The sequence below is a fragment of the Homo sapiens genome, chromosome 10 (genome assembly GCF_000001405.40).
Source record: "Homo sapiens chromosome 10, GRCh38.p14 Primary Assembly".
In the NCBI taxonomy this organism is placed as follows: Eukaryota; Metazoa; Chordata; class Mammalia; order Primates; family Hominidae; genus Homo; species Homo sapiens.
The window spans coordinates 103,567,916-103,592,829 of NC_000010.11; the positions used below are offsets into that span (position 1 = coordinate 103,567,916).

The 24,914-nt window shown below is 53.3% G+C and overlaps 1 protein-coding gene and 1 long non-coding RNA gene across 2 annotated transcripts in view, besides 3 other annotated features; one reads left to right on the top strand and one right to left on the bottom strand.

The window, feature by feature from the left end:
• The window catches only part of NEURL1 (neuralized E3 ubiquitin protein ligase 1), a 98,842-nt gene extending 74,211 nt beyond the window's left edge, over positions 1-24,631 (top strand). Inside the window, exons 2-6 of the mRNA NM_004210.5 lie at positions 2,957-3,198; positions 3,586-3,907; positions 16,621-17,310; positions 21,599-21,745; positions 22,219-24,631. Of these exons, the coding sequence (NP_004201.3) occupies positions 2,957-3,198; positions 3,586-3,907; positions 16,621-17,310; positions 21,599-21,745; positions 22,219-22,457 (1,640 nt within the window). The 3' untranslated portion in view covers positions 22,458-24,631. The remainder of the gene's footprint in view (positions 1-2,956; positions 3,199-3,585; positions 3,908-16,620; positions 17,311-21,598; positions 21,746-22,218) is intronic.
• Positions 1,384-1,884: an enhancer, noted in NCBI's record as "H3K4me1 hESC enhancer chr10:105329056-105329556 (GRCh37/hg19 assembly coordinates)". NCBI's record gives its function as "activates a minimal SCP1, AML or CMV promoter by ChIP-STARR-seq in naive H9 embryonic stem cells {active_cell/tissue: H9 hESC(naive)}" and the evidence as "EXISTENCE:reporter gene assay evidence [ECO:0000049][PMID:30033119]".
• On the bottom strand, positions 12,056-15,828 carry LOC124902496 (uncharacterized). Its single transcript, XR_007062277.1, has 3 exons — positions 14,797-15,828; positions 14,524-14,669; positions 12,056-13,074 (listed from the first exon to the last, which is right to left on the bottom strand). It is a non-coding gene; the product is annotated as an uncharacterized LOC124902496 (long non-coding RNA).
• Positions 16,499-16,558: a silencer, noted in NCBI's record as "silent region_2785". NCBI's record gives its function as "represses an Ori minimal core promoter by ATAC-STARR-seq in GM12878 lymphoblastoid cells {active_cell/tissue: GM12878}" and the evidence as "EXISTENCE:reporter gene assay evidence [ECO:0000049][PMID:35858748]".
• Positions 24,497-24,791: an enhancer, noted in NCBI's record as "tiled region #3797; HepG2 Activating DNase matched - State 18:Pol2". NCBI's record gives its function as "activates a minimal TATA promoter and a strong SV40 promoter by Sharpr-MPRA in HepG2 cells {active_cell/tissue: HepG2}" and the evidence as "EXISTENCE:reporter gene assay evidence [ECO:0000049][PMID:27701403]".

Here is a 24,914-nt window from a genome sequence, read left to right on the forward strand (position 1 = left end):
ACTATTATTTGATGCATATGACCCATGTGTGATAGGCATGTGTTTTGTATGTATTGTTTTTCACATCCATGTGTACATGACTACGTGTGTGTGTAAGTGTGTGGTTCCTGGTCTCAGGGATACGGGAGAGGATGAACGGCCTAGGGTTGGGATTACTTTCGCATGCTCACAGGTGTACGTGTATGCCCGTGAGTGTGTCTTTTGGAGCCCACATGCCTGGGTGCACATGGTGCCCCTGGACCAGAGTCCTCCTGGCCCCACCTCCTTTGTCTGTTGTGCTGCCAGCCAGGGTGCTGGGCCTGTGCTGCCCCAGCCCCACCCTCAACCCCCTACCCAACACTGGGATTGGCAGGGGTCCTCTCTGGAAGGGAGGCCTTGGGGAATGTCCTTCCAGGAGCTGGGTCTCTGGCCCCTTTGTCTCCACTGTATTTGCCCAGAGTCAGTGTTTTCTGTGCCGTTACCCAGGGCCCCAGGACGTCAAGCAGGATGGGTGGGAAGAAGAGGAAGCATTTTGAAGGGATTGGTGGCCCTGCAGTTGCTCCGTGGATTCTGAGTAGAGGCTGGGGAGGGGGAACCCCAAAGGAAAGGCTGTCATCAGCAGCTGGGCTCAGCAGGGTTTTAAAAACTGCTTCGTGGAGGTGTAATTGACATACACTAAATTGCACATGTTTAAAGTGTCCAATTTGATGAGTTTTGACATAGTGTACCCCCATGAAATCATTACCACATCAAGATAAGGAACACACAGACCACTGAAAACCACCATTTAAAAAAAAAGATAAGGAACACAGCCACACTGCCAAATGTCACCTTGTGCTCCTTGGTAATCCTGCCTCTCTCCCCACACCATCGCAGGCATTCACTTATCTGTTTTTGTTTTTTTGTCTTGTTTTGTTTTTTGTTTTTGTTTTTGTTTTGAGACGGAGTCTTGCTCTGTCGCCCAGCCTGGAATGCAGTGGAACGATCTTGGCTCACTGCAACCTCCACCTTCTGGGTTCAAGTGATTCTCCTGCCTCAGCCTCCCGAGTAGCTGGGACTACAGGTGCCTGCCACCACGCCCAGCTAATTTTTGTATTTTTAGTAGAGATGGGGTTTCACCATATTGCCCAGGCTGGTCTCGAACTCCTGACCTCAGGTAATCCACCCTCTTTGGCCTCCCAAAGTGCTGAGATTACAGGCGTGAGCCATGGTGCCTGGGCCACTTATCTGCTTTTGATCACTACAGCTTCATTTGCACTTTCTAGAATTTGATAAAAAATGGAAGGAGAGGAAGGGTTTTGAAGGGAATGGAAGCCCTGCAGTTGCTCCATGAATCCTGTATTGCTTTGTTTTTAACAGGCTAATTTCACTCACATCGTTATTTTGAAATTCATCTATGTTGTTATTCATATCGGTAGTTCATTGTGCTTTACTGCCGAGTAGTATTCCGTTGAGGAGATGCACCACGGTGTGTTAGCCACCCACACAGCAGGGGTGATTTTTCTCTTATGCTTCCATTTCTACCTCTAGATGTGAACCTCAACAGCTAGCCTTTCACCAGCACATATTTTATGAAACCAAGAGTCAAGCTGTGTCTGAGGCTGGCCTGAGCCCAGTGGGCATCTTTTCCAGGCAGGGCACCTGTAGCCAGTGCCACTCTCTGCCCTTTGCCCCAACTGTCCCCTTCCCTGAAATGGCTTCCCCTCCTCTGCACTATCCAGAGGCCATTCAGCTTCTTCCAGGCAGCCTTTCCAGACTGTCTGGGGCTCTTCTGAGCATTTCCAGCCCTCATAGCCTGACCGCTTCCAAAGCTCTTGCGCTGCCCAGCCATTCCCGTCTTGTCTCCTTGGTGAGGACAAGGTGAACTCCTCCTCATGCCACCCTCTCCTAGTGAGCCTGGCAGGCAGGAAGCTGCTCTAGAGAGACCCGGGGGCTCATGCACAGGGTGTCTGGCTGGCCTGGGGCTTCGGAGACTGCTGTCTGGGGCCTCTGGAGAAGCGGGGATTGGAGATGCAAAGTGGTACAGAGGGATGCAGACCAAAGCCAACACAGAGGGCTGGGCCTCTCCCTCTCCCTTTTCTTCCTGTCTTCCATCTCCTTCCTGGAAGCTGCTCCTCCTCCTCTAGGGAGTGAAAGGGTCTGGGGAGGCAGGCCCAATGCCGAGCTCTTTGCATCATTAAATTCCTGCCTTGGAGGACCAAAATTTGAAACATCCCAGAAGGCCTCTGTCACATTTTGTGGCTTTCTACGGCTCCACCCTCTTCTCCATTCTTCACGGTTCTGTTTCCCCACGATGACAGGATGGGCGGGCTCTACTTGGGCATGGATCTTGGGGGCCCCACCAGAGTCCCCAGCCCCTGAGGCTGTGTATTAATTAATGCTGCCTGTGCTGCTGAGACTTGTCTTGGAGCCACAGAGTAGAGGCCGCCCATTGTGCCAGAGAGGGAAGTGTTGTCTTCCCCAAGGTCACAGAGCCAGTTAGTGACAGCCCCGAGGACAGGATCCATGTATGTTTCATGTCTGTGTCTCCAGTGCTCAGGACAGAGCTTGGTATTCAGCAGATATGTCATAAATATTTATTGAATAAAATAAACAAACCAAGGATGGTGGAGTGCCAGTGAGTGGTGGTAGAGGGTGGTAGTAAAGGTGATGTGCTACCATGGTAGGTGGTGAGAGGCAGAGGGTGGTAAATACTAGTGGGGAGAGGAGGTGGGAGAGGGTGGGGGTGGGAGGTGATGGAGAATGCCGAGGTGAGAAGTGGTGGATAGTGAACCAGTAGAGCATGGTGGCAGATGGTGGAGTGGGAGATGGTGAGAGATGGTGGCAGAAGGATGGTGGCAAGGGGTGGCGGCAGTGGTGAAAGAACTGGGCTCTGGGTGACTTCTGGTCATGCCCAGCCTCTGCCCTTCCCTAGGGGACTCTGGTCTGGCTCTTGGACCCGCCAAGTTCTCTGACACCGTGGCCTGTTCCTTTGCAGACTCTATCGGGGGCCCCTTCCCCGTCACTTCTCACCGATGCCACCACAAGCAGAAGCACTGTCCGGCAGTGCTGCCCAGCGGGGGGCTCCCAGCCACGCCGCTGCTCTTCCACCCGCACACCAAGGGCTCCCAGATCCTCATGGACCTCAGCCACAAGGCTGTCAAGAGGCAGGCCAGCTTCTGCAACGCCATCACCTTCAGCAACCGCCCGGTCCTCATCTACGAGCAAGTCAGGCTGAAGGTGGGCCTGCCCCCTGCCCCCGCCCCCGCCTCCTGCTTCCTGCTCCCCTCATGGCATCCCCTGGGCCTCTGGACTCTGCCCCTCAGCCGCTGCCTGCTGCCACCCCCAGCACCACACCCTGCCCCTGCCTTTCCTCTCTGGTGACCCTCTTCCCTCTTCCTTATGCCTTTCTCAACCTCCCTGTGTGACAAGGAAGGAACCGGGAGGGCGGTGGCCGTGGGAACCCCTTGCTGTCTTCCCAGCAGGGAGGGCTCCTGGGAGGGAACTGTGCTGGAATGGTGGGCAGGCTGCTGTGGGATGCTCCAGGGAGTCCACCGCAGGGAGGCTGCCCTTGGTCTGATTGACCAAGTGGGAGAGGGTGGGCTGAGGCCACCCCCTGCCACCCAGATCACCAAGAAGCAGTGCTGCTGGAGCGGGGCCCTGCGGCTGGGCTTCACCAGCAAGGACCCGTCCCGCATCCACCCTGACTCGCTGCCCAAGTACGCCTGCCCCGACCTGGTGTCCCAGAGTGGCTTCTGGGCCAAGGCGCTGCCTGAGGAGTTTGCCAATGAGGGCAACATCATCGCATTCTGGGTGGACAAGAAGGGCCGTGTCTTCCACCGCATCAACGACTCGGCTGTTATGCTGTTCTTCAGCGGGGTCCGCACGGCCGACCCGCTCTGGGCCCTGGTGGACGTCTACGGCCTCACGCGGGGCGTCCAGCTGCTTGGTGAGTGCCTGCCCCTCCGGCCCCTTGGTGCAGGGGACACCCCTCAGCCTCTGGGCACTGCAGCCTGGCACTGTTCAATCCCATCAGGCGTAGGGACCCCTCTCTGACTGGTGCCAAGGGGAACCGGGGCAGCCCTGGGAACCTTGGCATGAACTGCAGAGATCTCCTTTCCTCCAGGCCCGTGGCTTTGCAGTGGAACCTGGGTGTGATTTCTGCTCTCTGCAGCCTCTCAGGTGGTGCCTTGGGCAGTATGCAACCTTCACAATCATAAATGGTGACCTCAAAGACCACCACCCCAGGAAGTAATTAAATTAATCATCACAACCACAGTTCATAGAACACTTACTATGTGCAAGGCACTTGATTCTTGCCTGTTCTCATAGCAACCCTGGGAGGGAGACCCCTTCATTGGGCAGAAACTCAAGTCCAGGGAGATTACATCATGGTCCCAGGAGCCATGGCCGTTGAGGGGTAGAGCCAGCCCTGAGTCTCCAGCTCTAAAGCCAGCTGTCAGCCCCTGGGCTTTGCAGCCTTCCAGGAGACGGGGTTCCAAGCCCACCCCAGTGCCTTTTGCAGGGATGTTGGATAAAAGGGTAGGATCCAGGAGCAGAAGGCACTGGGGGAGCTAAGACTCTTGGCTGCTCCCTGGCCCCCAGCGTAAGTTAGGCTCTTTGAGGACAGTGAGAGAGCAAGGAGGAGGAGCCTCGGGAAGCAGCCTGGCATGCTCAGGGGCCAGGCTTCCCTGCAATGGCACAAGTACTGGGGCCGGAAGAGGACAGGAGAATCTCCGACTTCCTAGGGTCACACAGTAAGTTGGTGGTTAAGGTAGGACTAGAACTCAGGTCACCTGACTCCCAGCCCAGGATCCTTCCCACCTGGCTCTCCTTGTGCACAGGCACTCAAGTGCATGTGCGCACACATAGACTCTGGGTACAAATCAGGCCATCGGCAAACTGGCTTTGTCTCCAGGCAGAGGCTATGCAAGCCTCAGCTTCCTCAGCTGTGAAATGGGTTGGTGGGAAGATTAAGTTCCATCAGGGAGGCTGTGAGTAAAGTGCCCAGCACAGTCTCGGGTACCAAGTATATGCTCAAGCAACACTTTTTCCTTCGTCTCCCATCTCTACCCGCCTCTCCCTGCAGAGAAAGAGGCCATGAAGGTGGTTGAAAACCTTTTTTTTTTTTCCCTTTCTGACTTCAGAGCCTAGAAACAGTGAAGTTCTTCTGTCCACAACACTTTTGAGCAAAAAGTCAGTGATAGTAAAAACAAAGAAATGAGTCAGAAGCCTGTTTGTTGAGTTCCAAACATCAGGAAGCTGTTTTTATTAGCTAGTAGTTTGGGAACTTTCTGTTTTTCACCTCAACAAAAGTGTTTCTGCACTCACAATGACATGTTAAGAGCCTGGAACTGGGCAGTTCTGGGTCTCAGCGACTGAAGAAGGGAGCCCAGGTGCTTTGCATTTTCTCTGTAAAAGGGGTGTGCCTGCAGCCGGGGGCAGAAAGGGCAGCGTTCATGTCCCTGAGCTACAGAGACCGGCAGATCCTAGCCTCACGCTGTACTAGTTGTGGGGCCTCAGTTTCTTCATCTGTAACGTGGGGCTAAATGCTTTCTCGGGGTTCTTTGAGGAGCAGCTGATGCACAGTAGGGGGTCAGTGGCTGTCATTTGTCCCCACCCATTCTGGGGAGGACAGTTCTTCACTCAGGGCTCAAGTGAATGCCTTGGTGCTGCTCTGGTATCCTCAGGGCCCCACACTTCAAGGCACTGGAGTCCCAGCGCTTGAGTTTGAGCTCTAACCTGACCACTTCTGCCTGAGCCTCAGGCTTCCCACCTGTATAATGGTTGTGAAGGCTTTGACTTAGCCCAGGACTTAACCACATGGTGGAAGACAAAGTCTCTGCTCCTGAGAAAGCCACAGTCTTGTTGAGGGGTGGGCAGGTGAGGGCAGTGGGGCAACATTCTTGCTTTTCCCTAAGCAAAAAGTGGCCTCCCTCACAGTCCCCACTCTGGCTTCAAGGCCAGTCCCAAAGCCCCCTCCCTCCCTGAAACCTTCCTGGGCGGAATTCTTCTCTCCATCTTTGTGTGCCACCAAGTGGTGCTGGTGCTTCTCTCAGTACTGAGCATCGCAGAGCCTTGGTCCGTCCATACGTCCACTTCCCTGCAAGATGGGGAAGAATCCACGTCTCACTCAGTCGGGCTGCTCTCCAGAGTGGAGGCTTCTGCCTGACCTGCAGAGGACGTGGAGGAATATTTGCAGGGTAGGTAGGGGAGAGTAGTCAGGGGCAGGGTGGGGGACGAATGGGAGGGCAGATGCGTTGTTAGATGAAGAAAACGGCAGGTGGGTGGGGGCCAAGGGCAACCCAGCCCTGCCCACAGATAACCCAGGCTCATTGGGAAGTTAGGGAGATGAAGCAAACACTCCAGACGATGCAAGCGCTCAGGGCACAACCCAAGAGAAGCCAGTAAATCACTAACCGCTGTGGTCATGGGATGCCTTCCATCTGCCGAGATGGTTTCTATCCAGTTATCTCATTTAACCCCTCTGAAGCAGGCCCCACAGGGAGTGTTTTTTATCCCCATTTGGCAGGGAGATAACTGAGGCCCACGCAAGGCCTGGCTTGCCCATGTAGGGATGTGGCAGAGCTGGGACTTGAACTGGGTGTTCTGATGCCAAAAGCAACACCTTTCCCATTACCCTCCAGCTGGTTTAAACATAAAAGGAGGCAGGAAGTCAGAGGAGGCTGAGGTCAGTGGGGGAGGATGGAGGCCAGGAGGGCTTCTTGGAAGAGAAGACTTGGGCTGGGCCTACAAGTTCCAGGAGGGCCCTGGCACATGGGAATGAAGTGGAACACGACAGACGGGCTTCCCACCCTCAGGGGCTGAGGAGGGCTTGGAGAATAATCTGAAGGGCCCATCCTGGGCCAGAGCCCAGGTGGCCTGACCTGGTCCAGCCCCATCCCCCCTGTGACTATAAATGGGTTTGCACGCAGTGTTTTCAGTTGCATTTGGAGTTCCTGACAGGCTCCTCTCTGCACACCCGATAAGGCTAAGGCCCCAGCGGATTCCGTCCCAGCCGTAAATCACCATAATCCCTGGGTATTTTCAAACACTGATTATGGCCCCTAAATTCAATTGGCAGATTGAGATATCCCTTCATTTATTCTTCCTGAATTTTTTTTTTTTTTGGTAAAGAGAGAGAGGGAGACACAGAGATTCATCCAGAGATCTCCTGAGGTGGGCGTGATCTCTCCACCTTCGTTCACTGCCTGTCCTCTGAGATACTCCCCTCTACCCCAGGTAGCCTCAGGATCAGCTTCCTTCCCTGCCTTCTCTTTCCTCTCCGCCCCACTTCCCGCCCCTCCCTCTCTCCATCACCTGCACCTTTACTGCACCTGTATCTTTCTGGGCTTTTCTCTCTCCCTTGACCTAGATCCTCTCACCCTTCTTGCTTTCCCTGGTCTTGGTGTCCTTCTCCCCGCTGCTGTCTCTCTTCTGAAGAAAGTCGCTGTCCATCTTGGTGGCTCTGAGGCTGGGCCAGTCTTTCCTGGGGTGACTGTCCCCCAAACCAATGTCTGATCTTTGGGGATTTTCTGCCAGGCCTGCCCCTGCCCCCTTTGTCTGAAGCCTGTGGTCAAAGCCCTCCCAATCTTACCTGCTCTGTGTTTGTTCCTTAGACCAGAGGCTTCCCAGGGTAGCTGGCACATAGTAGGTAAGCAGGTCAGGCCATGGATGGGTTGTGTCCCCAGACAGAGTGGAGGCAGGGGCTGGTGTCTCTCCCCAGTGGACGGTCCTCCCTGCCCTGGCCAGAATCCAAGCCCACAATGGTGCCCATGCCATGGCCCCAGCAGGCCCTCCTCCCTGTTATGGTGCCCATGCCACAGCCCCAGCAGGCCCTCCTCCCTGTTATGCTGGAGTTCTGCAGATCACCTCTTTCTTTGGGGCGCCCTGGCCCAAGCCCAGGCTGGTATCGTCAAGAATAACAGCTTCCTTCCTCCAGGGAGAAGGACCCGCCAGCAACTAAATAAACACAGGTTTTATGGGGTGATTAATACATGGAAAAAGAAGCTCCTATCCCAGTATCTCAAGGTCTCCTTGCTCCTCTCAGAAATGTCAATTCAGGAAGAGCAGCTGTGAGTCCCAGCAGGACTTGGCTGGCGGGCCAAGAGCCCACTTACAGGGTGCTCCAGAGCATCCCTTGGTGCCTACCACTGCCTAGGCACTAAGCGGGGGCAGGTGGGAGACAGAAGAATCAAAAACCCAGCCCCTCTCCTGGAATAATGTTTTCCCTGGGGGACACATCATATAACTGATGCAAGGTGGCCCAAGTTCAATTCTGCAATCAAGTGTGACCTGAAGAGTAAAACTGTGTGTATGTGTGGGAGGGGAGTGCAGCTAGAGAGCAATCCAGGAGGACTTCCTGTAGGAGACAAGTTTTAAGTCAGGAACTAAGTGAGGTGAAAAGAATGGATTGGTTGAGGAACAATTTAGGTCAGACAGGGGGGTGTCCACAGGTGCAGAGGTGGGGAATTGGCGGTCAGTAGGGGAGCAGATCCAGGAGGGGAAGGAATGAGGTAGAAAGGTAGTGGGTGACTTGTGGAGGTGAGGGGTGTGCACAGGTGTGGGTATGTGTATGCATCACAGGGGAGAGAGCCATGAGAGCTGAAAGCTTCCAGCAGCTTTTGTGCTGTCAAGTTGTTCAGTAAGAGGGACTGGCTGGTTGACAGTGGAGAAGTATGAGACCCAGAGATGGGGAGAGGCCTGCCCAAACTCTCCCAGCTGCTCATCAGCCAGGCCAGGCCTGGAACCCAGATCTCTCAGGCTGATCTGGGAGTAAGGTCAGAGGGAGGAGGCTATCAACACATCTAAATGGTGGGGCTGGGTCCGGGAGGGTTCTAGGAGGGGATGAGGTGGGGGCTCCCGAGGGCTTATGCATTCTATTCCATCCCTTGCCATGCACAGGTTCCCAGGTCTTGGTAAAAGACCCACGCCTGCCTACTGAGGAGAGAGCTGTATGGAGACTCTCAGGATGGGCTTCCAAGGGTCATGTGCTGCTGGGTGGGTTCTCCAGGCCCCCTGGAGATAGGGGCCTAGGTCAGGTCCCCTATCCAGGGTGTGCCTCAGCTTGGAGGTGCTGAGCATGAGTGATCCCCAGCCGAGGACCACACTGCCATCTGGGCCTTCTGCTTCCCAGGCTAAACCAATATTTACCCTCAGCTGTGGCTGCTAGGGGCCAAGAGGCAAATATTAGTTTAAGGAGCCTGAGCCAGCTGTTGGGCTGGGGGAAACAGCTGAGGCTGCCGATCATGATTTCTTCCTCTTTGATGATTTTCATTTCTTTTTGATTAAGAAAAAAATCTTGCTTTTCCTTCTGCTTCAGAGGGTTTTCTGGTGCTTCCTTTCTGCTTACCCCAAATTCTGCCAGCTATATCAGTGCCCCACACCAAACCCTCCCCTCCATTAGGAAGCTTTCCCAGACCTCCCTCATTCAAAATGACCCTTCCTCCTCCTGACCATCGGAAGCACTTGGAGACCTAAGTGGTATAAGCAGCTTTGAGTCATGTATTGTCCTGCTCTTTAAAGATCCAGCATATATCCTCTTTGTATATAAAGGAAGGTATTATTGTGCCCATTTTGTAGATAAGGAACAGAGGCTGAGAGAGGTCTGATAACCTGCCCAAGGTCACACAGCTGGCAGTTGGTGGAGCTGGGATTTGAACCCAGGAGCTTGGGCTACATTACCTTCCAGCTTCTCTAGATGTGAGTCCATCTGATCTCCCTATTAGGTCTGGATACCCGACAAGAGCGGGGACAGTGGCCCTCCTGTGCCTTCCAGAGTCGAGCTTACAAGAGCTCAAGGCATCAAGGATCAACTGCACATGTTGGGCACAGATAGGCCACCAGGGCCCCAGCAGTGCTGGTACAAGGAAGAGGGGCAGTGCAGCGCCCAGGATGCCAGATTCAGTGGGGAAGGTCGGTCTGCCTGCCTTATAGTTCCCCGGAGGCTCCCGAGGGCTTTGTCTGGTTCAGTTATTCCTGTGCACTCTAGTTTTCTACCACAATGAATATATATCAAGTTGAACCATATGTAATCACCAGTATTGGACTGTTTTTAACTTACAAGAAAGGCAATCTCATGTTTGCCCCTAGCATCTCTTGGGCCCAAGAGATTGTACTGGGGCCTTGGAGAGAGTGGTGGGGCTCAGGGTGGGGTGTATGTGGAGGGAGGAGCTCGGGCCTTGCAGTATTGGGGACAATGCCTTCATTTAAGATGCAGGAGACCCACTGAATCAAGGCTTGACTTGGCCACTCATTAGCTCTGGGCAGTTCTCAGCTTCTCTGTGCTTCAGCCTCCTCATTATTTGGGCATAATTATACACACCCCACTTACCTCACAGATGTGGAAAGGCATTTACACAAATGAGAAGGGCTTTTGTCTTTAGGTTAAAAAGGAATACCTAATTTAAAGACACCGCCCTCCACGGCCAAAAAAGCCAACCCCTCAAACCAGCTCTTCAACTAGAAGAGGGAGCCTTGAACCCAGGTCTCTGTATCGGGCTGAAAGGAAAACCATGCAATCGAAATTGCTCCTTGGAACAAGATCTGTGCTTCTCCAGCTGGGTTCCTTGGAACACTGGGGTTCCACAGAGGTGTCTTGGAGGCTGCAGAGAAGGCCAGAGAGAGGGTGAGGGGATAGGTGCTAGGTCCACCTCCTAGACTTCAGCCAGAACTTGGGGTTCTGTTGGACAAAAGGATTCCACTGCTTTTTAAAAAAGTTTGAGACCCACTAGACCAGATGATTCTATAAATCTATGAGATCCCGTGGCTTGAAGATTCTCTGAATCTTAAAGTCTGTGACTGTGAGTGATTTTAGGATGTTCTGCCCTTCCCTCTGTGAGCCCCAGAAAGCATGTTTGTTTCTCCTAAATTTCCCATGGTTGGGTTTAAAGGGAGAGGGTGGAGGTGGGTGCTGGGAGGGGTGGAGAACCCCCTTGCCTGTCTAAGCCAGGCACCCGCACTTCCCGGCTCCCTCCCATGCCCCGTGCCAGATGCGGACCAGCAGGAGGATGTTTGTGGAGACAGTAAAGGGCTGGCAGCGCCTCCCAAACAGGGGCCAGCAGATACCTGCTAGCAAGCCAGGCGGCTGCAGGCTGACCTGTGGTTACAGATTAGCCAGTGCTCCGGATGTGAGAACGTCAACAAATGGGACTCTCAGGCTGACGGCAAGCTCTGCCTCAAAGGAGGCCCCGGCCTGCCCTGAGGTCCCCCACGCCCAGGTCCTGCCTTGGTTACCCTGCACTGCTGGCAGCGTATGGCAGGGCCGGGTGGCTTTCTGGGCAACAGCAAGCCCTGGGGCCCTCCTCAGTCTGTCTCCTCCCGCTCCCACTCCTGCTCTTCACCAGGTGTTTGCTAACAGTTTTCTCACCTGTCAACCCAAACCCTCCTGTGTTTCAGCTCAGGTCAACTCCTGTGTCGTCCAGAATACCTTCCCTAGCCCACTCTGAAACAGGAAGGGGACTTCAGCCTTAGTTGGGGATCTTGATCCTAAAGGGGTTATTTACTGTAAAGGAGAGAAGACTCAGAGGGAGCCCCAAGGAGGGTATCTGGGATACATATGGATTCCCACCAGGAGAGTTTTTCTAAGTCATGGTTATTCCAAGGTGGGGAATAGGTAGCCTTGGGAGATGGTAAACTTCCTGACCCTAGGGCCATTCTAGCCTCTAGCTGAGAGATTGGCAGGGATAAATGGATTTCCTAGTACCTTAGTTCCTCGAAAGTCCTGTCTAATCCTAGATACTAAGACTCTGGTAACTGAATTGTATTCAAATATTTTCCTGACTTCGGGGCAGGCATGGTGGCTCACACCTGTAATCTCAGCACTTTGGGAGGCTGAGGCCAGCAGATCACTTGAGCTGAGGAGTTCGAAACCAGCCTGGGAAACCTAGTGAAACCCTGTCTCTACAAAAAATACAAAAATTAGCCAGGCGTGGTGGTGTGCACCTGTAGTCCCAGCCACTTTGGAGGCTGAGGCACAAGAATCGCTTGAACCTGGGAGGCAGAGGATGCAGTGAGTGAGCCTAGATCGTGCCACTGCACTCCAGCCTGGGGAACAGAGCGAGACCCCGTATCAAAAAATAATAATAATAAAAAAAACATGTCCTGCCTTTAAGCCTTGCCCCTTCCACTGACTCTTGGCTCCCAGGGCCCAGTTCCTGGCTCCTCCCTCTCCCAGACTCCCTGCCCAGGGCTGGGCACACAGTAGGTCAGTGAGTAGGGCCCCCAGCACCACCTAGAGGAGGGGAAACACATGGCCGGGACCTCCCTGCCCTGGCAGGGTCTGCTTATTTTTGCTCTGGCCCAGGGTGTTGGTAGAGCCACTGCCGGGCACCAGAACAGGCAAGAGCTGAAGACTGACAGGTTCTTTCCTGAATGATGGGACATGCAAGGGTAGTCAGCTTAGCGGCTTCTCCTCATGGCCTTGTGCCATCTCTGTTCCCATCATAAACACCTCCAAAGCAGGTGGGCACGTGTCCCGGCACCGATTATGTAACTTGTTGCTTCCGAATGTGGGGCCACCCCACTGCTTGGGGTGAGAGGTTGCCCATCTGGTTTTTCTAAGCCTTACCCATCAAGTGGTGCAGTCTTGGGCCGAGGTTGGTCCCATGGTGTTCTCCCATGGCTTGGGGCCCCAAACACTGCCCTGACCTCTAACTTGGTATCAGCTCACTCAACTGTGACCTTTGCCGTCCCTTCTGCGGAGGGTGTTCTAACCAGCTCCTGTGTCTCGAGTTTCATCTATTTCAGGGCTTCGACACAGCTGGGCTCACTGATGGGATGGTTATTTTGGAGCTGCTGGCTGCCTGCAGCTGCTCCTGACCCTGAGGGGTGGAGAGGGAGAGAAGACAGACTTGGGCTGGGCACTGGCCCTAGGGATTCGTTCCGTTTTTAGCTGTTTCCCAGCAGCTTTTGTCCCTCCCCTCCCAACTCTAGCAAGATTTCAAGCAAGGCTAAAGGGATCCTCTTCCTACCCCCTTCTCTTTGTACATCCTCCACTGTTTCTCCTTTCTTTCTTCTTTATCCTCTCACCTCTACATTTTAGCTGCTGCTTCTTGGTCTTTGGTGATTTCATTCAATGAGTATTTCCTGGGTACCCATCATGACTGATGTGAAATCCTGCATTAAGGTTCAAAAAGCCCATGGTCTGAGGACAGGTGTACCTGACTTTTAGTTGAGACTGTGCTCAAGCCAAGCAAATACTAATATCTGAAGTTATCGGGTAGCTTCTGGGTGCTGGGGGTGGTCCCACTTTACCTCGGATCTTTCCAACAACAACTCAGGGCAGGTATTATTACCCCTATTCTCTAGGTGAGAAATTTGAGGCTGGGAGGAAGGTTGCTTACCCAAAAGCCACCAGCCAAGTGCTGGATCAGACATTTAAACCTAGGCCTGATCCAGACCTGGATCACCCCAAAGCCCATGCACTTTCTTCTGAATCATGTGGCATTTCACATGCCAATAACAACGGCTTATATTAACCTAATGACTGTGCCAGGTCTCCTATTAGGTGCCCTGTGTACCTTACTCCTTTTCATCCTCACAGCGTCTCTTCTAAGGGGAGTATTAGATACAGATTTTATGTAAATCAGTAGATGCTGATTTCACTGCTGAAGAGGCCCCAAGAAGTTCAGCTATTTGTCCAGTCATATAGCCCTGTCATACAGGAAATGGCAGGGCCAGGATTTGAACCTAGACTGATGACTTCAAATTCATTGCACTTAACTGTGCTCCTGTCCTGCCTACTAGTATATGAATGTTGGTTACTGAAAAAAACCTAATGTACTTTTAGGTTGCATTATTAGAAGTATAGCATATATACCAAGGGAGGTGATGGCCACACTATGCCTTGAGCTGGTTGGTGCACATCTAGAGTACTGAGTCTGGTTTTGTTCATTATCTAAGAGGTGGGAAGGTGTGTGGGGACTCTGAGTATTCCCTGAGAATTGTCTTCAGTACTGGGCTGATAGGCAGCTCAGGAGGTAGTGGGTTAAATACAGGGAGGTAGATTTTGGTTTAAAAGAAGGAAATACTCTTTAAAGACAGATTAACTCCACAATGGAACAGGTTGCCTGGAAGTTAGTGAGCACCTGGTAGTGTGCATGTTTAAGTAGAAGGGGACTCCTGAAGGGGCAGAGAGACCAGGATAGCTTGCATCCAGCCCCATTAAGAGCTCTGTTCTGAGGGTCTGCCCAGCCCCAGGAGCTCTGGACTGATTGTCCTGAGGGGGTGGTGTGGGCCCTGTGACAGCTGTGTTCCTGGAGGCTCTGGCTGGACATCTCTGAGCGACCTGATTCCTCTTCTCCCTGCTGTTACTGCCCCTTCCCCTCTCTGTCTCCCACCCTCTGAAGTTCCCAAGGGTCAGTGCCTGGAATCCCAGAGGGGTGAGGGAGCAGGGACTGTTCCCCAGGGTCCAGGTCAGCCCACTGGCTTTCCCCCACTCTGCACCATTTGTCTCTCCTACCTCCCCCCTGCACAGGCCCTCCTGGCCTCTGCCTCTGCCTCTCTGCAGCCCCCCAGCCTCTATGCACCATCACTGTCACAGAGTCAATTCCCTGGAATAATCACATTTTCTGGCCGGCTCCCTCCTCCTCGCCAACACGATTCCAGGAAACCCCAATCAGCCAGGCCCCAGGAGGCTTCTCCAGAGCTTCAGGAGGCTTGGGGGGAAGGGCCCACACCCAGAGCTTTCTGGGGGCCAGACAACACAGTTCCTGGAAGGGGCAGTGAAAGGGTGAAAGAAAAGAGGGAGGTTTAGTGACCATGTCTACATTCAGTTGGAACTGAATTTTGGCCTCTGCTGTCCCTACCAGACCAATCCCCCAAGCTTTGCTGTCATACCTGAGAACCCCAGCCATCCTTAACCCAGTTCCTGAAGAGACAGCACAGATTCTCCCTTGGAGAGGTTCAGGGAGAAGGCCCAAAGGAAGGGATCGGTCCATGGTGCGGCTTACAGTGGCACCAGGCATATTTGGAGAGATTGACTCACGCAGAAAGGCTTCAATAAACAAGGAGAGTCTGGAAGTGAAGAATGCGGCATTAGGAGTTGGACAGACCTTTTTTTCAATCCTGGATCTGCCACATGGCGGCTGTCATAACGCCGCTGAGCTTTATCTGTAAAACGGGAACACTTCCACGGGCTGCCGTAAGGATGAATTGCAGGGGTAATTCATGGAACATGGTGATCACTTTTATTGAAAGTTATAGGACTCCATAAAGCAGAACATAACACAGCCATTAGAAGAATATGGTGTTGGAAACAGTTATTGGCACGGAGAGGTGTTCAGATGCTGGGGATAAGATGGAAGGAGCCCAGGAGTTAAATTTTTGAAAATTTTGAAAAAAGCTACCAGGGTTCTTAGCCTGGAGTCCTTGCCCATGAATGGCTTCATGTAGTTCATGAATGCCGAGAAATTATCTACAGAATTTAGTGAGAATGTTCATTTTTCTGGGGAAAAGGGTCAATGTCATCACATTTTCAAAGTGATGTAGTACATATAAAAGGTAAAAAACAAGTGATGTTTATATAGCATGACTCAATTTTTGCACTAAAAAAAGTAACCAGCTGGGTGTGGTGGCTCACACTTCTAATCGTAGCACTTTGGGAGACTGAGGCAGGAGGATCGCTTGAGCCTAGGAGTTGGAGACCAGATGGGCAACATGGCGAAATACCGTCTCTACCCCAAAAATACAAAAATTAGCTGGGCGCGGTGGTGCATCCCAGCTACTTGGGAGGCTGAGGTGAGGATGGCTTGAGCCTGGGAGGCGGAGGTTGCTGTAAGCTGAGATATCTCCACTGCACTCCAGCCTGGGCCACAGAGCAAGATCCTGTCTCAAAAAAAAAAAAAAAAAAAAAAAAAAAGCCAAACAAACAAAAAACCCAAAAATACAGCCTTTAAAAAGGCCAAAAGATCATACATCCAAATATTAAAAATGCTTTTCTCTGGGTGGTGGGCTTATAGGCGATTGTTTTTTCTTTTTGCTGAACTGAATTTTCTACAAAATACCGTTTTATATTTTGTATAACTTGTATGATTTAAAAAAGAACGATGAGTTTGATTCCCTGTTAAGCCACTTTCAAAAGGGTATCTTGGATAGATCTACTTCTCAGCCTGTGTCCTGACATGGCAATGGTAGCCTCAAAAGGTGATTGTTAAGGTTAGATGAGACAATGTACGCAAAGAGGGTGTCTGTGTGTTTGCTGGGGGGTGGTTGCTCCCTGGCTTTCCAGGATGTTAGGCCTTCGTCAGTGCACTCGACAGACGGTTACTGTTTGTCAACAGAATGCTTGGCGCTGTTCTAGCTGCTAGGGATAAGACGGAAGGAGCCCAGGAGTTAAATTTTTGAAAATTTTAAATTATGAGGAATACAAGTTTACTGTAGAAAATGAGGAAGTACACATATGCATATAGCAAGCACCTGTGAGCATTTGGAAGCATCCACATGGTTTCAGTTTCGGTGCTTCCCCCCACCTATTCCTCTGCTTAAACAGATGTCCTGCAAGAGTCGTTTCTTGACTGTGTTCGCTAATTTATGTCACAAGCATCGTGTGCGCCATTAGCCATCCGGGATTGTAACGGTGCGCGCGTAGGGACCGGACAGCGGGGCGCGCCGGGGCCGCCTCCCGAGAGCCCTGCGTGACACTGCCCCGTGTCTCCCGCGCAGATAGCGAGCTGGTGCTCCCGGACTGTCTGCGGCCGCGCTCCTTCACCGCCCTGCGGCGGCCGTCGCTGCGGCGCGAGGCGGACGACGCGCGCCTCTCGGTGAGCCTATGCGACCTCAACGTGCCGGGCGCGGACGGCGACGAGGCCGCGCCGGCCGCCGGCTGCCCCATCCCGCAGAACTCACTCAACTCGCAGCACAGCCGCGCGCTGCCGGCGCAGCTCGACGGCGACCTGCGTTTCCACGCCCTGCGCGCCGGCGCGCACGTCCGCATCCTCGACGAGCAGACGGTGGCGCGCGTGGAGCACGGGCGCGACGAGCGCGCGCTCGTCTTCACCAGCCGGCCCGTGCGCGTGGCCGAGACCATCTTCGTCAAGGTCACGCGCTCGGGTGGCGCGCGGCCCGGCGCGCTGTCGTTCGGCGTCACCACGTGCGACCCCGGCACGCTGCGGCCGGCCGACCTGCCTTTCAGCCCTGAGGCCCTGGTGGACCGCAAGGAATTCTGGGCCGTGTGCCGCGTGCCCGGGCCCCTGCACAGCGGCGACATCCTGGGCCTGGTGGTCAACGCCGACGGCGAGCTGCACCTCAGCCACAATGGCGCGGCCGCCGGCATGCAGCTGTGCGTGGACGCCTCGCAGCCGCTTTGGATGCTCTTCGGCCTGCACGGGACCATCACGCAGATCCGCATCCTCGGTGAGTGCCCGCAGCTGCGCCTGGGCGTATGCCTTTCCTGGAGGCGGGGACGATCCGGGTAGGAGACAAAGGGCGAGCTCCCCTTCCTCCAGGCTCATGATGGTGTTGCTAAGGAATCACAGACACCTAAGGTGAGTTCTGGGCGGGACTTGGTCATCTTGTCAGTGGCCCTTATATGTCACCTGGGAGACTCACCTGGGGGGTGAGGCGAGGGAAAGCGCGGATTATTGAGTTTGATGCCCAGAATCAGATCAACCCATAGTCTCACAGATACATAAACAGTCCAGAAGCACACAACCCACTGACCACTCAAAAATGAGAGGAAAAGGCCAGGTGCGGTGGCTCACGCCTGTAATCTCAGCATTTTGGGAGGCCGAGGCGGGCGAATCATGAGGTCAGGAGATCAAGACCATCCTGGCTAACACGGTGAAACCCCGTCTCTACTAAAAATACAAACAATTAGCGGGGCATGGTGGTGGGCGCCTGTAGTCCCAGCTACTCGGGAGGCTGAGGCAGGAGAATGGCTGAGCCCAGGAGGCGGAGCTTGCAGTGAGCCAAGATCGTGCCACTGCACTCCAGCCTGGGCGACAGAGTGAGACTCCGTCTCAAAAAAAAAAAAAAAAAAAGGTTTCCCCCAGCAGTTAACTTTTTGAGTCTCGGTTACCATTTCTCCAAAATGGAAATAAAGGTCCTCACCTTTAAGGAAGTTTGTGAGTCCAAATGAGAAAAAAAGGTTGGAATGTCAGTAGTCAGGTGGTGCAGGGTGGTGTCTGGTTGGGGGACTCGGGGGAATCCCTGAGCAGGCAGCCTTGGGGGAAGTGGGGCTGCAGAGTTCTGGGCCTGCCTTTTCTCGGGGGCACAGGGTTTGAAAGGACTGGGGGGATGTGCATTGAGTTAAGAAAAGAAGGGAGGAAGATTCTTTATTGGAAGACTTCTCAGAGCCTTTAATATGCACTTTGATTAAGGAGACGGTGATGGTGGTTTTGGTGTAGAGTTTTTCCATACTAATTTGACCGGAAATCTTTTCACAAAGTGTCTCCTGGTACCTTTGTACCCCAGAGTGAGCAGGTATTCATGCTTTCCAAGTGCCGGTCTTTGAACCAGCTCTGTGAGACTGAGCTGGTTTCGTTAGATTTACCTGGAGGACCTATTAAAGTGCAGATTCTTGGACCCCCCCTCCAGAGATTTTAATTCGGTAGACCTTGGACAGGTTCTGGACATCTGAATTGTTTTTCTTTAGTAAGTATGCTTACCCAAGTTTGGAGACCCCTGGGCCTCACAGCCCCTAGCCTAGACCTCAGCCCAGGAGGCTTGATAGATAAGATAATGTGTGTAGATGAGTGAGCATGAGGTAGTTACTCTATGAGATTGGCGTACTGTGTATAGGCACATGTGAGTAACTGAATACACATATGTTAATGCATGTAATGCTGTTGGCTTGTGAGAGCATGAGAAATCATATAAAAAACATTGGGGACTTCCACCTCTGCAAAGAGACCAAATGAAGATGGAGTGAAACATAAATAAAAAGGAAATGAAAAGCCTGGGTGCGGTGGCTCACATCTGTAATCCCAGCACTTAGAGAGGCCGAGGCAGATGTATTGCTTGAGGCCAGCAGTTCAAGACCAGCCTGGCCAATGTGGCAAATCCCCATTTCTACTAAAATACAAAAAAATTTAGCTGGGTGTGGTGGTGCACGCCTGTAAGCCCAGCTACTCGGGAGGTTGAGGCAGGAGAATCACTTGAACCTGGGAGGCAGAGGCTGCAGTGACCTGAGATAGTGGCACTGCATTCCAGCTTGGGCAACAGTGAGATTCCATCTCAAGAAAAGAAAGAGAGAGAGAGAAAGAAAGAGAAAGAGAAAAATCAAGCAAGCAGGCAAGATGAATCAGGCTTGGGTGAGAATTCAAGATGGAATAAAAAGAAATTAGGCTGGGATGCAAAAAAATAAAAAATAAAAAATAGTCAAGCTGATTTCATTGACCAGGATATACTACTCCTCAGGGCAAGGAAATTACATAAGAGTAAGGTACTTTCTTCCCTCAGCACCATCTAATAATAGCTAAGCAGCTTTCCAGTAAGGCTTCTGTTGCCCAAAGAGGTTTACTAGACTGGAGCAAAGGGGAGGCTTAAAAAAATCCAGATTTCTCTCTCCCAAGAGGAGGATAGGCCAAGGTGGGTGTTGAAGAAGAACCACCCAGAATTCAATATACATTCAACAAAGTGCTCCTGATCTGTTTGGAAAATTGGGCATCACAACCAGCAAATTGGTGTTTGAAGATCCTGACTGACTTCAAAAGAATAACTAACCAGTGGCAATGTATGAAGGGTCATTATTAACCTTATAGAGGAATGCTTGGCTTTGTGGCTAGCCTAAGTATACTAAAAATAGAAGGTTATTTCCTTCACTCATGTGTATCACAAAACATACAGCCAGTTCCATACTTATTGGTGAAACATCAGAAATATTCTCATGAAAGTCAGGAATATAATAGAGATGGCTTACAGATGTTGTTCTGAAAATTCTGGCCAATGCAACAAGGCAAGAAAAGTAAATAGGAGTTGTGAATTCCTGAAAGAAGGAGATGATAATTAACTTGGAAAAATATTAACACAGTAAGAGAAACCCTGTGGGCATCTATTGAATATTCTTAGAAATAATAACACAACTAAATGAATTAGAATAACTACAGATAAAAAAGATCTCATTGGGCACTTAGGTGTGTGCAGGGCATTATGTTAGGATTTGTAGGAGAGTCACAGGTGAATACTATTTCCTGTTCTAAGAAAGCTCATGGGCTGGGCGCGGCGGCTCACACCTGTAATCTCAGCACTTTGGGAGGCTGAGGCGGGTGGATCACAAGGTCAGGAGATCGAGACCACCCTGGTTAACATGATGAAACCCCGTTTCTACTAAAAATACAAAAAAAATTAGCTGGGCCTGGTGGCAGGCGCCTGTAGTCCCAGCTACTCAGGAGGCTGAGGTAGGAGAATGGTGTGAACCCGGGAGGTGGAGCTTGCAGTGAGCTGAGATTGCGCCACTGCACTCCAGCCTGGGCGACAGAGCAAGACTCCGTCTCAAAAAAAAAAAAAAAAGAAAGCTCATGGTTTCACTGGAGAAACAAAACTGGAGTCCTGGGCACAGAACAAATATTACCCCAGCCTTTGTGGTTGTGTAGTTGTATGTCTGTAGTGCATGTGTGTGTGTACTTGAGGGAGTAATGTGGTCTGGGGGTAGTCAGGGCGGCCCAGAGGAAGGAGTTTGAGGACAGCTGTCAGAGGCTCCCTGGACAGCCAGCTCTTTGAAGTCAGGGGCTGTCTCTAGCTTTCTGTCTGCACGGGGCCTGATGCCTGGTAGGTCCTTGGTAAGGATTTGTTGAAGGGAGGAGAGAAGGAAGGAGGGAAAGAGGGAGGCGAGGATTGTTAAAAAGGAGAGGAAGGCCGGGCGCAGCGGCTCACCCCAGCAATCCCAGCACTTTGGGAGCCGAGGCTGGCAGATCACGAGGTGAGGAGATGGAGACCATCTTGGCCAACATGGTGAAACCCCGTCTCTATTAAAAATATTAAAAAATTAGCTGGGTGTGGTGGCATGTGCCTATGATCCCAACTACTCAGGAGGCTGAGGCAGGAGAATCTCTTGAACCTGGGATGTGGAGATTGTAGTGAGCCGAGGTCGTGCCACTGCACTCCAGCCTGGCGACAGCGAGACTCCGTCTGAAAAAAAAAAAAAAAAAAAGGAGAGGAAGTGAGTGACGGAAGGAGGAAGGAGGGGAGGAGAGAATCTATGATCAGAACAAGGTGGGAAAAAGTGAAGGCACTGCAGAGGTGCCATGCAGAAAAGGTGGGTGATATCTGGGGACAGTGGTGAAGAGCTCAGGGCTCCGAACAGGAGGGTGAGGTTGCGGGGCAGGGGAGATGGTAATATACATGCTCCGGCCCAGGAAGCTTTGCAGAAAGCATACATGGGGAGGGGCGGAGGTAGGTGCCAGGCAGGGGCCTAGTTTGGAGCTGCTGTTTTAACAAGAAGAAAGCAGGATATGACCCTCCAGTTCATAGGTGAGAACAGAGGCCAGGCTGGGTGCTGTCTGGGGTCAAAGTCTTTAGCTGATTAGCTATACTCCACGGCGGTAATATCAAATGATCCCCGCGCCAGCCTGCAAAATCCCGCTCTTGGCCCTGTGGCTGGGCTGTGTGGTCAGGCCTGGGAACCCACTGTGAGGGACAGAGCTTTCTCCAGTTTGGCCTGGGCAGGCAGCTAGTGTGTCCTTCCCTCCCTCCCCTTTCACAGGCTCCACTATCCTGGCCGAGCGGGGTATCCCATCACTCCCCTGCTCCCCTGCCTCCACGCCAACCTCGCCCAGTGCCCTGGGCAGCCGCCTGTCTGACCCCTTGCTCAGCACGTGCAGCTCTGGCCCTCTGGGTAGCTCTGCTGGTGGTAAGTAGGCTGGCTCCTCTGTTCCTTGGTGACCATGTGGGACTGCAGCAAGGATGCAGCCTTTGTGTCCGGGGCTGGGAGTGGAGAGGAGCTGGAGTTGGGCTCAGTAAACCCTTGTTGGGGGGTGATTTCTGGGGTCATCCCCTCCTGTCCCCTAGCTGGGCAGTGCCAAAGGGTAGCTCAGGAGGGACCTACCTTAAAAGATTCTGGACCCTTTCCTTCCTCCATCTTGCCTTCTTTTCTCTCACTGCCTCCTAGCCACTCTGTCCCCTCATCTGGGGTTGGAGTGGGTCAGAAGTGGGGCTGCTCAGAGCTCAGCCTCTTCCCTTGTGCCCTGGAAGTTGGGTTGTCAGGGTGAACAGGCAGATCCTGATAAATGGAGGGGGACACAAGAGGCCGGGGAGCTCTCTTCCCGTGAATCCAGCGCCGGGTTGGGCCATGTCTCCTCCTGACTGGTGCCCCCTTGTCCTCAGGGACAGCCCCCAATTCGCCAGTGAGCCTGCCCGAGTCGCCAGTGACCCCAGGTCTGGGCCAGTGGAGCGATGAGTGCACCATTTGCTATGAACACGCGGTGGACACGGTCATCTACACATGTGGCCACATGTGCCTCTGCTACGCCTGTGGCCTGCGCCTCAAGAAGGCTCTGCACGCCTGCTGCCCCATCTGCCGCCGCCCCATCAAGGACATCATCAAGACCTACCGCAGCTCCTAGCCCGTTGCGGTGGCCCATCCCGCATACCCATCTTCTCGGGCTTCAGCCCAGTCCCAGCTGAGGAACAAGCCAGTGGGGCCCCTTCTCTTCCTCATTTTGGAAACTTTTCCTCCTCTATTAAACATGGGAAACTGAAGCCCTTGAAGGTTTGGGGAGAGGGGGGTATCAGGCAGGGAGGGGGCAGAGGCAAATCACCGGGCAGAGGGAGGGGAGGAGAGGAGGCCGCACTCTCCCTGTCTCTCCCGTCTCTGCACCCAGCTCCTCTCTGCATGCTGAGGGCTAAATTGGGATCTCAGCCTGCCCTAATCTTTCCCCATCTGAGGCAGGTTTCTAGGAGGTGTCTGTAGTCCATGTGGCACCTTTGTGAGAATTAGAAAACATGTACCTTCCTCTGGGCAGCTGCAGCCCTGAGCCAGGACATGTGGCCTGGCTAGTGCAGCATGGAGTGGATTTTAGGCTCATTTGCCCTCTCAGCCAACTGCCCTTGAGCAGTGTACAGCCTGCTCAACAACCGCCCTGGGCAGGCCGCTCCTGAGCTGCTGTCTCCCTCTCTGACCTATGCCTACCTTCTCTTTCTTCGTTCCCTGCCCACTGGGCATGGCAGCTGGGGGTGAGAGGCTGGTGGTTGCCTCCCGTCCTGGGCAGGCTGCAGCCTCATGCCATGTCTCTCTCCCACTACCTGATGGGCACATGGACAGGCTGCAGAGGGCTCCAGGTTCTGGGCCCCTGGCTGAGAAGGGGAGGATCCTGTCCTGGCTGTAGCCTTCCTGCCCCAATCATCTCGCTGGATGCCATTGCCCAGGGGTAGCCCTTCGGTATGGGCTGGGGAGAAGGGTTGGTCTTCTGCCAGGGTCCCTAAGAACAGGTTTGCAGCTACCCTCTCTGACCTTTTCCCCATATCTTGTGCTGTCCAGGGCCTAGGCTGATAGTCAGAGCCTGTGGCACACCTGGGATGGGCCAGGGCCCTGGGTGGGGAGGTGTGGGTTCCCTGGGCCAAGACCAGCCTTTTTCCTCAGTTTAATTAATTTATTTATTTGGTTTGTGGTTTTGGGTTTTTTTTGTTTGTTTGTTTGTAGGTGAGTTCCCATCCTCTGGGCCCCTAGAAATGCTGCCTTTGTGTGTGGGGTACCTGGGAAAGGGTGTGGCTGAGGCAGTCATAATGCAGTATCTTCCCCTGACTCCAGCCACAAAGCTCATACCCAGCCCTACCAATCATGAACTGGAACTCCATAAGGAGGGGCCAAATTGGGAGGCCTTTTGGCAAACAGTGTCTATTTTACAGAGAGGCAAACCAAGCCTCCTTAGTGCCCTGGGGCTGATGGTCACCCAGAGCCATAGAGCACCCTTCCTCCTGGGCCAGAGCTGGGTTATCATGGTTGGCTTAGGTACCTCAGGTGGCCCAGGAGGTCCCCCCTCCATAAGGACGTCAAACTTCCAGGAGGGCCAGTGTTCCTAGTGTGGGCCAGGAACAGGACAGGGAGACCTTGTGATGGCGGGGCAGGGAGCCTGTTCGTAGGGAAGATGAGGAGGCAAGGGCTGCCTCTCACACCTCCAGGTTCTCTAAGTTCTGGGGAGGGAGCGCCCCACCTGCTGAGGTCGGTCCTCTCAGCCCTGCCTGCCCTGGCCTGGGCTCTCCCAGCCTCCCAGCCCTCTGCCCCCTCAGATGGCTTTTTGTTTTTGTTTTTTTTTGCATCCATCAGAGACTGCACCTCTGTGTGGCAGGCAGGGCATGGGTTTTAGTCCTGGCCACTGACCAGCTGTGTGGCCCTGGCCGAGTCGTAGCCCCCTGGAGCCCAGCTTCCATTTCTATAAAATGGTTGTTTCGGGAGAGAGGGGCAGGCTTTCTGTGTGACTCGGGAGTTCTTCCGTGAGGGCTGCCAGGGGGTGGTGTGCCAGGACCTCAGGCTGGGCCTTTGTGCTGGCCTTGCAGTGGGTGTGTGGGGAAGTCACTGTCCCACTATGGGTCTCCACTACCCAGTCACTGACCCTGGGAGACCCCTTCTGTGTGGGAGGGAGCGGGGGCTGGCTAGCGGGCCCCCCAGCCAGGGATCCCAGAGGCTGAGGGTTGGGGAGAGGAAGCCATCATCTCATTACCTCTGTCAGTGCAGGGGTGGCTGCTGCTTCCCTTGTGCACTTGGGTCGCTGTGATTGTGAATAAAAGTGATTTCGTACCAGCCTGAGGGCGGTGCTGTGCGCAGAGCACTGGGGAAGGAGGGCCAGCGTGTGCGTGCACATGTGGGGGCAGGCTGGGGTGTGGAGGCCTGGTGTCCTGGATACTAGGGGAGTCATCAGGAGCTGTGGCCCTTCCCTGAGGGGTAATTGCAGGCCTCTGAGGCTTCAAGGTGGGCTGGGGCAATCAGGGAAGACTCCCTGGAGTCGGGGGCTGGAGCGTGACTTGGGTCTAGAATGCCAGGTGAGCCTTGCAAATTGGGAGAGGCTACTGCATCTGTGAGGAGC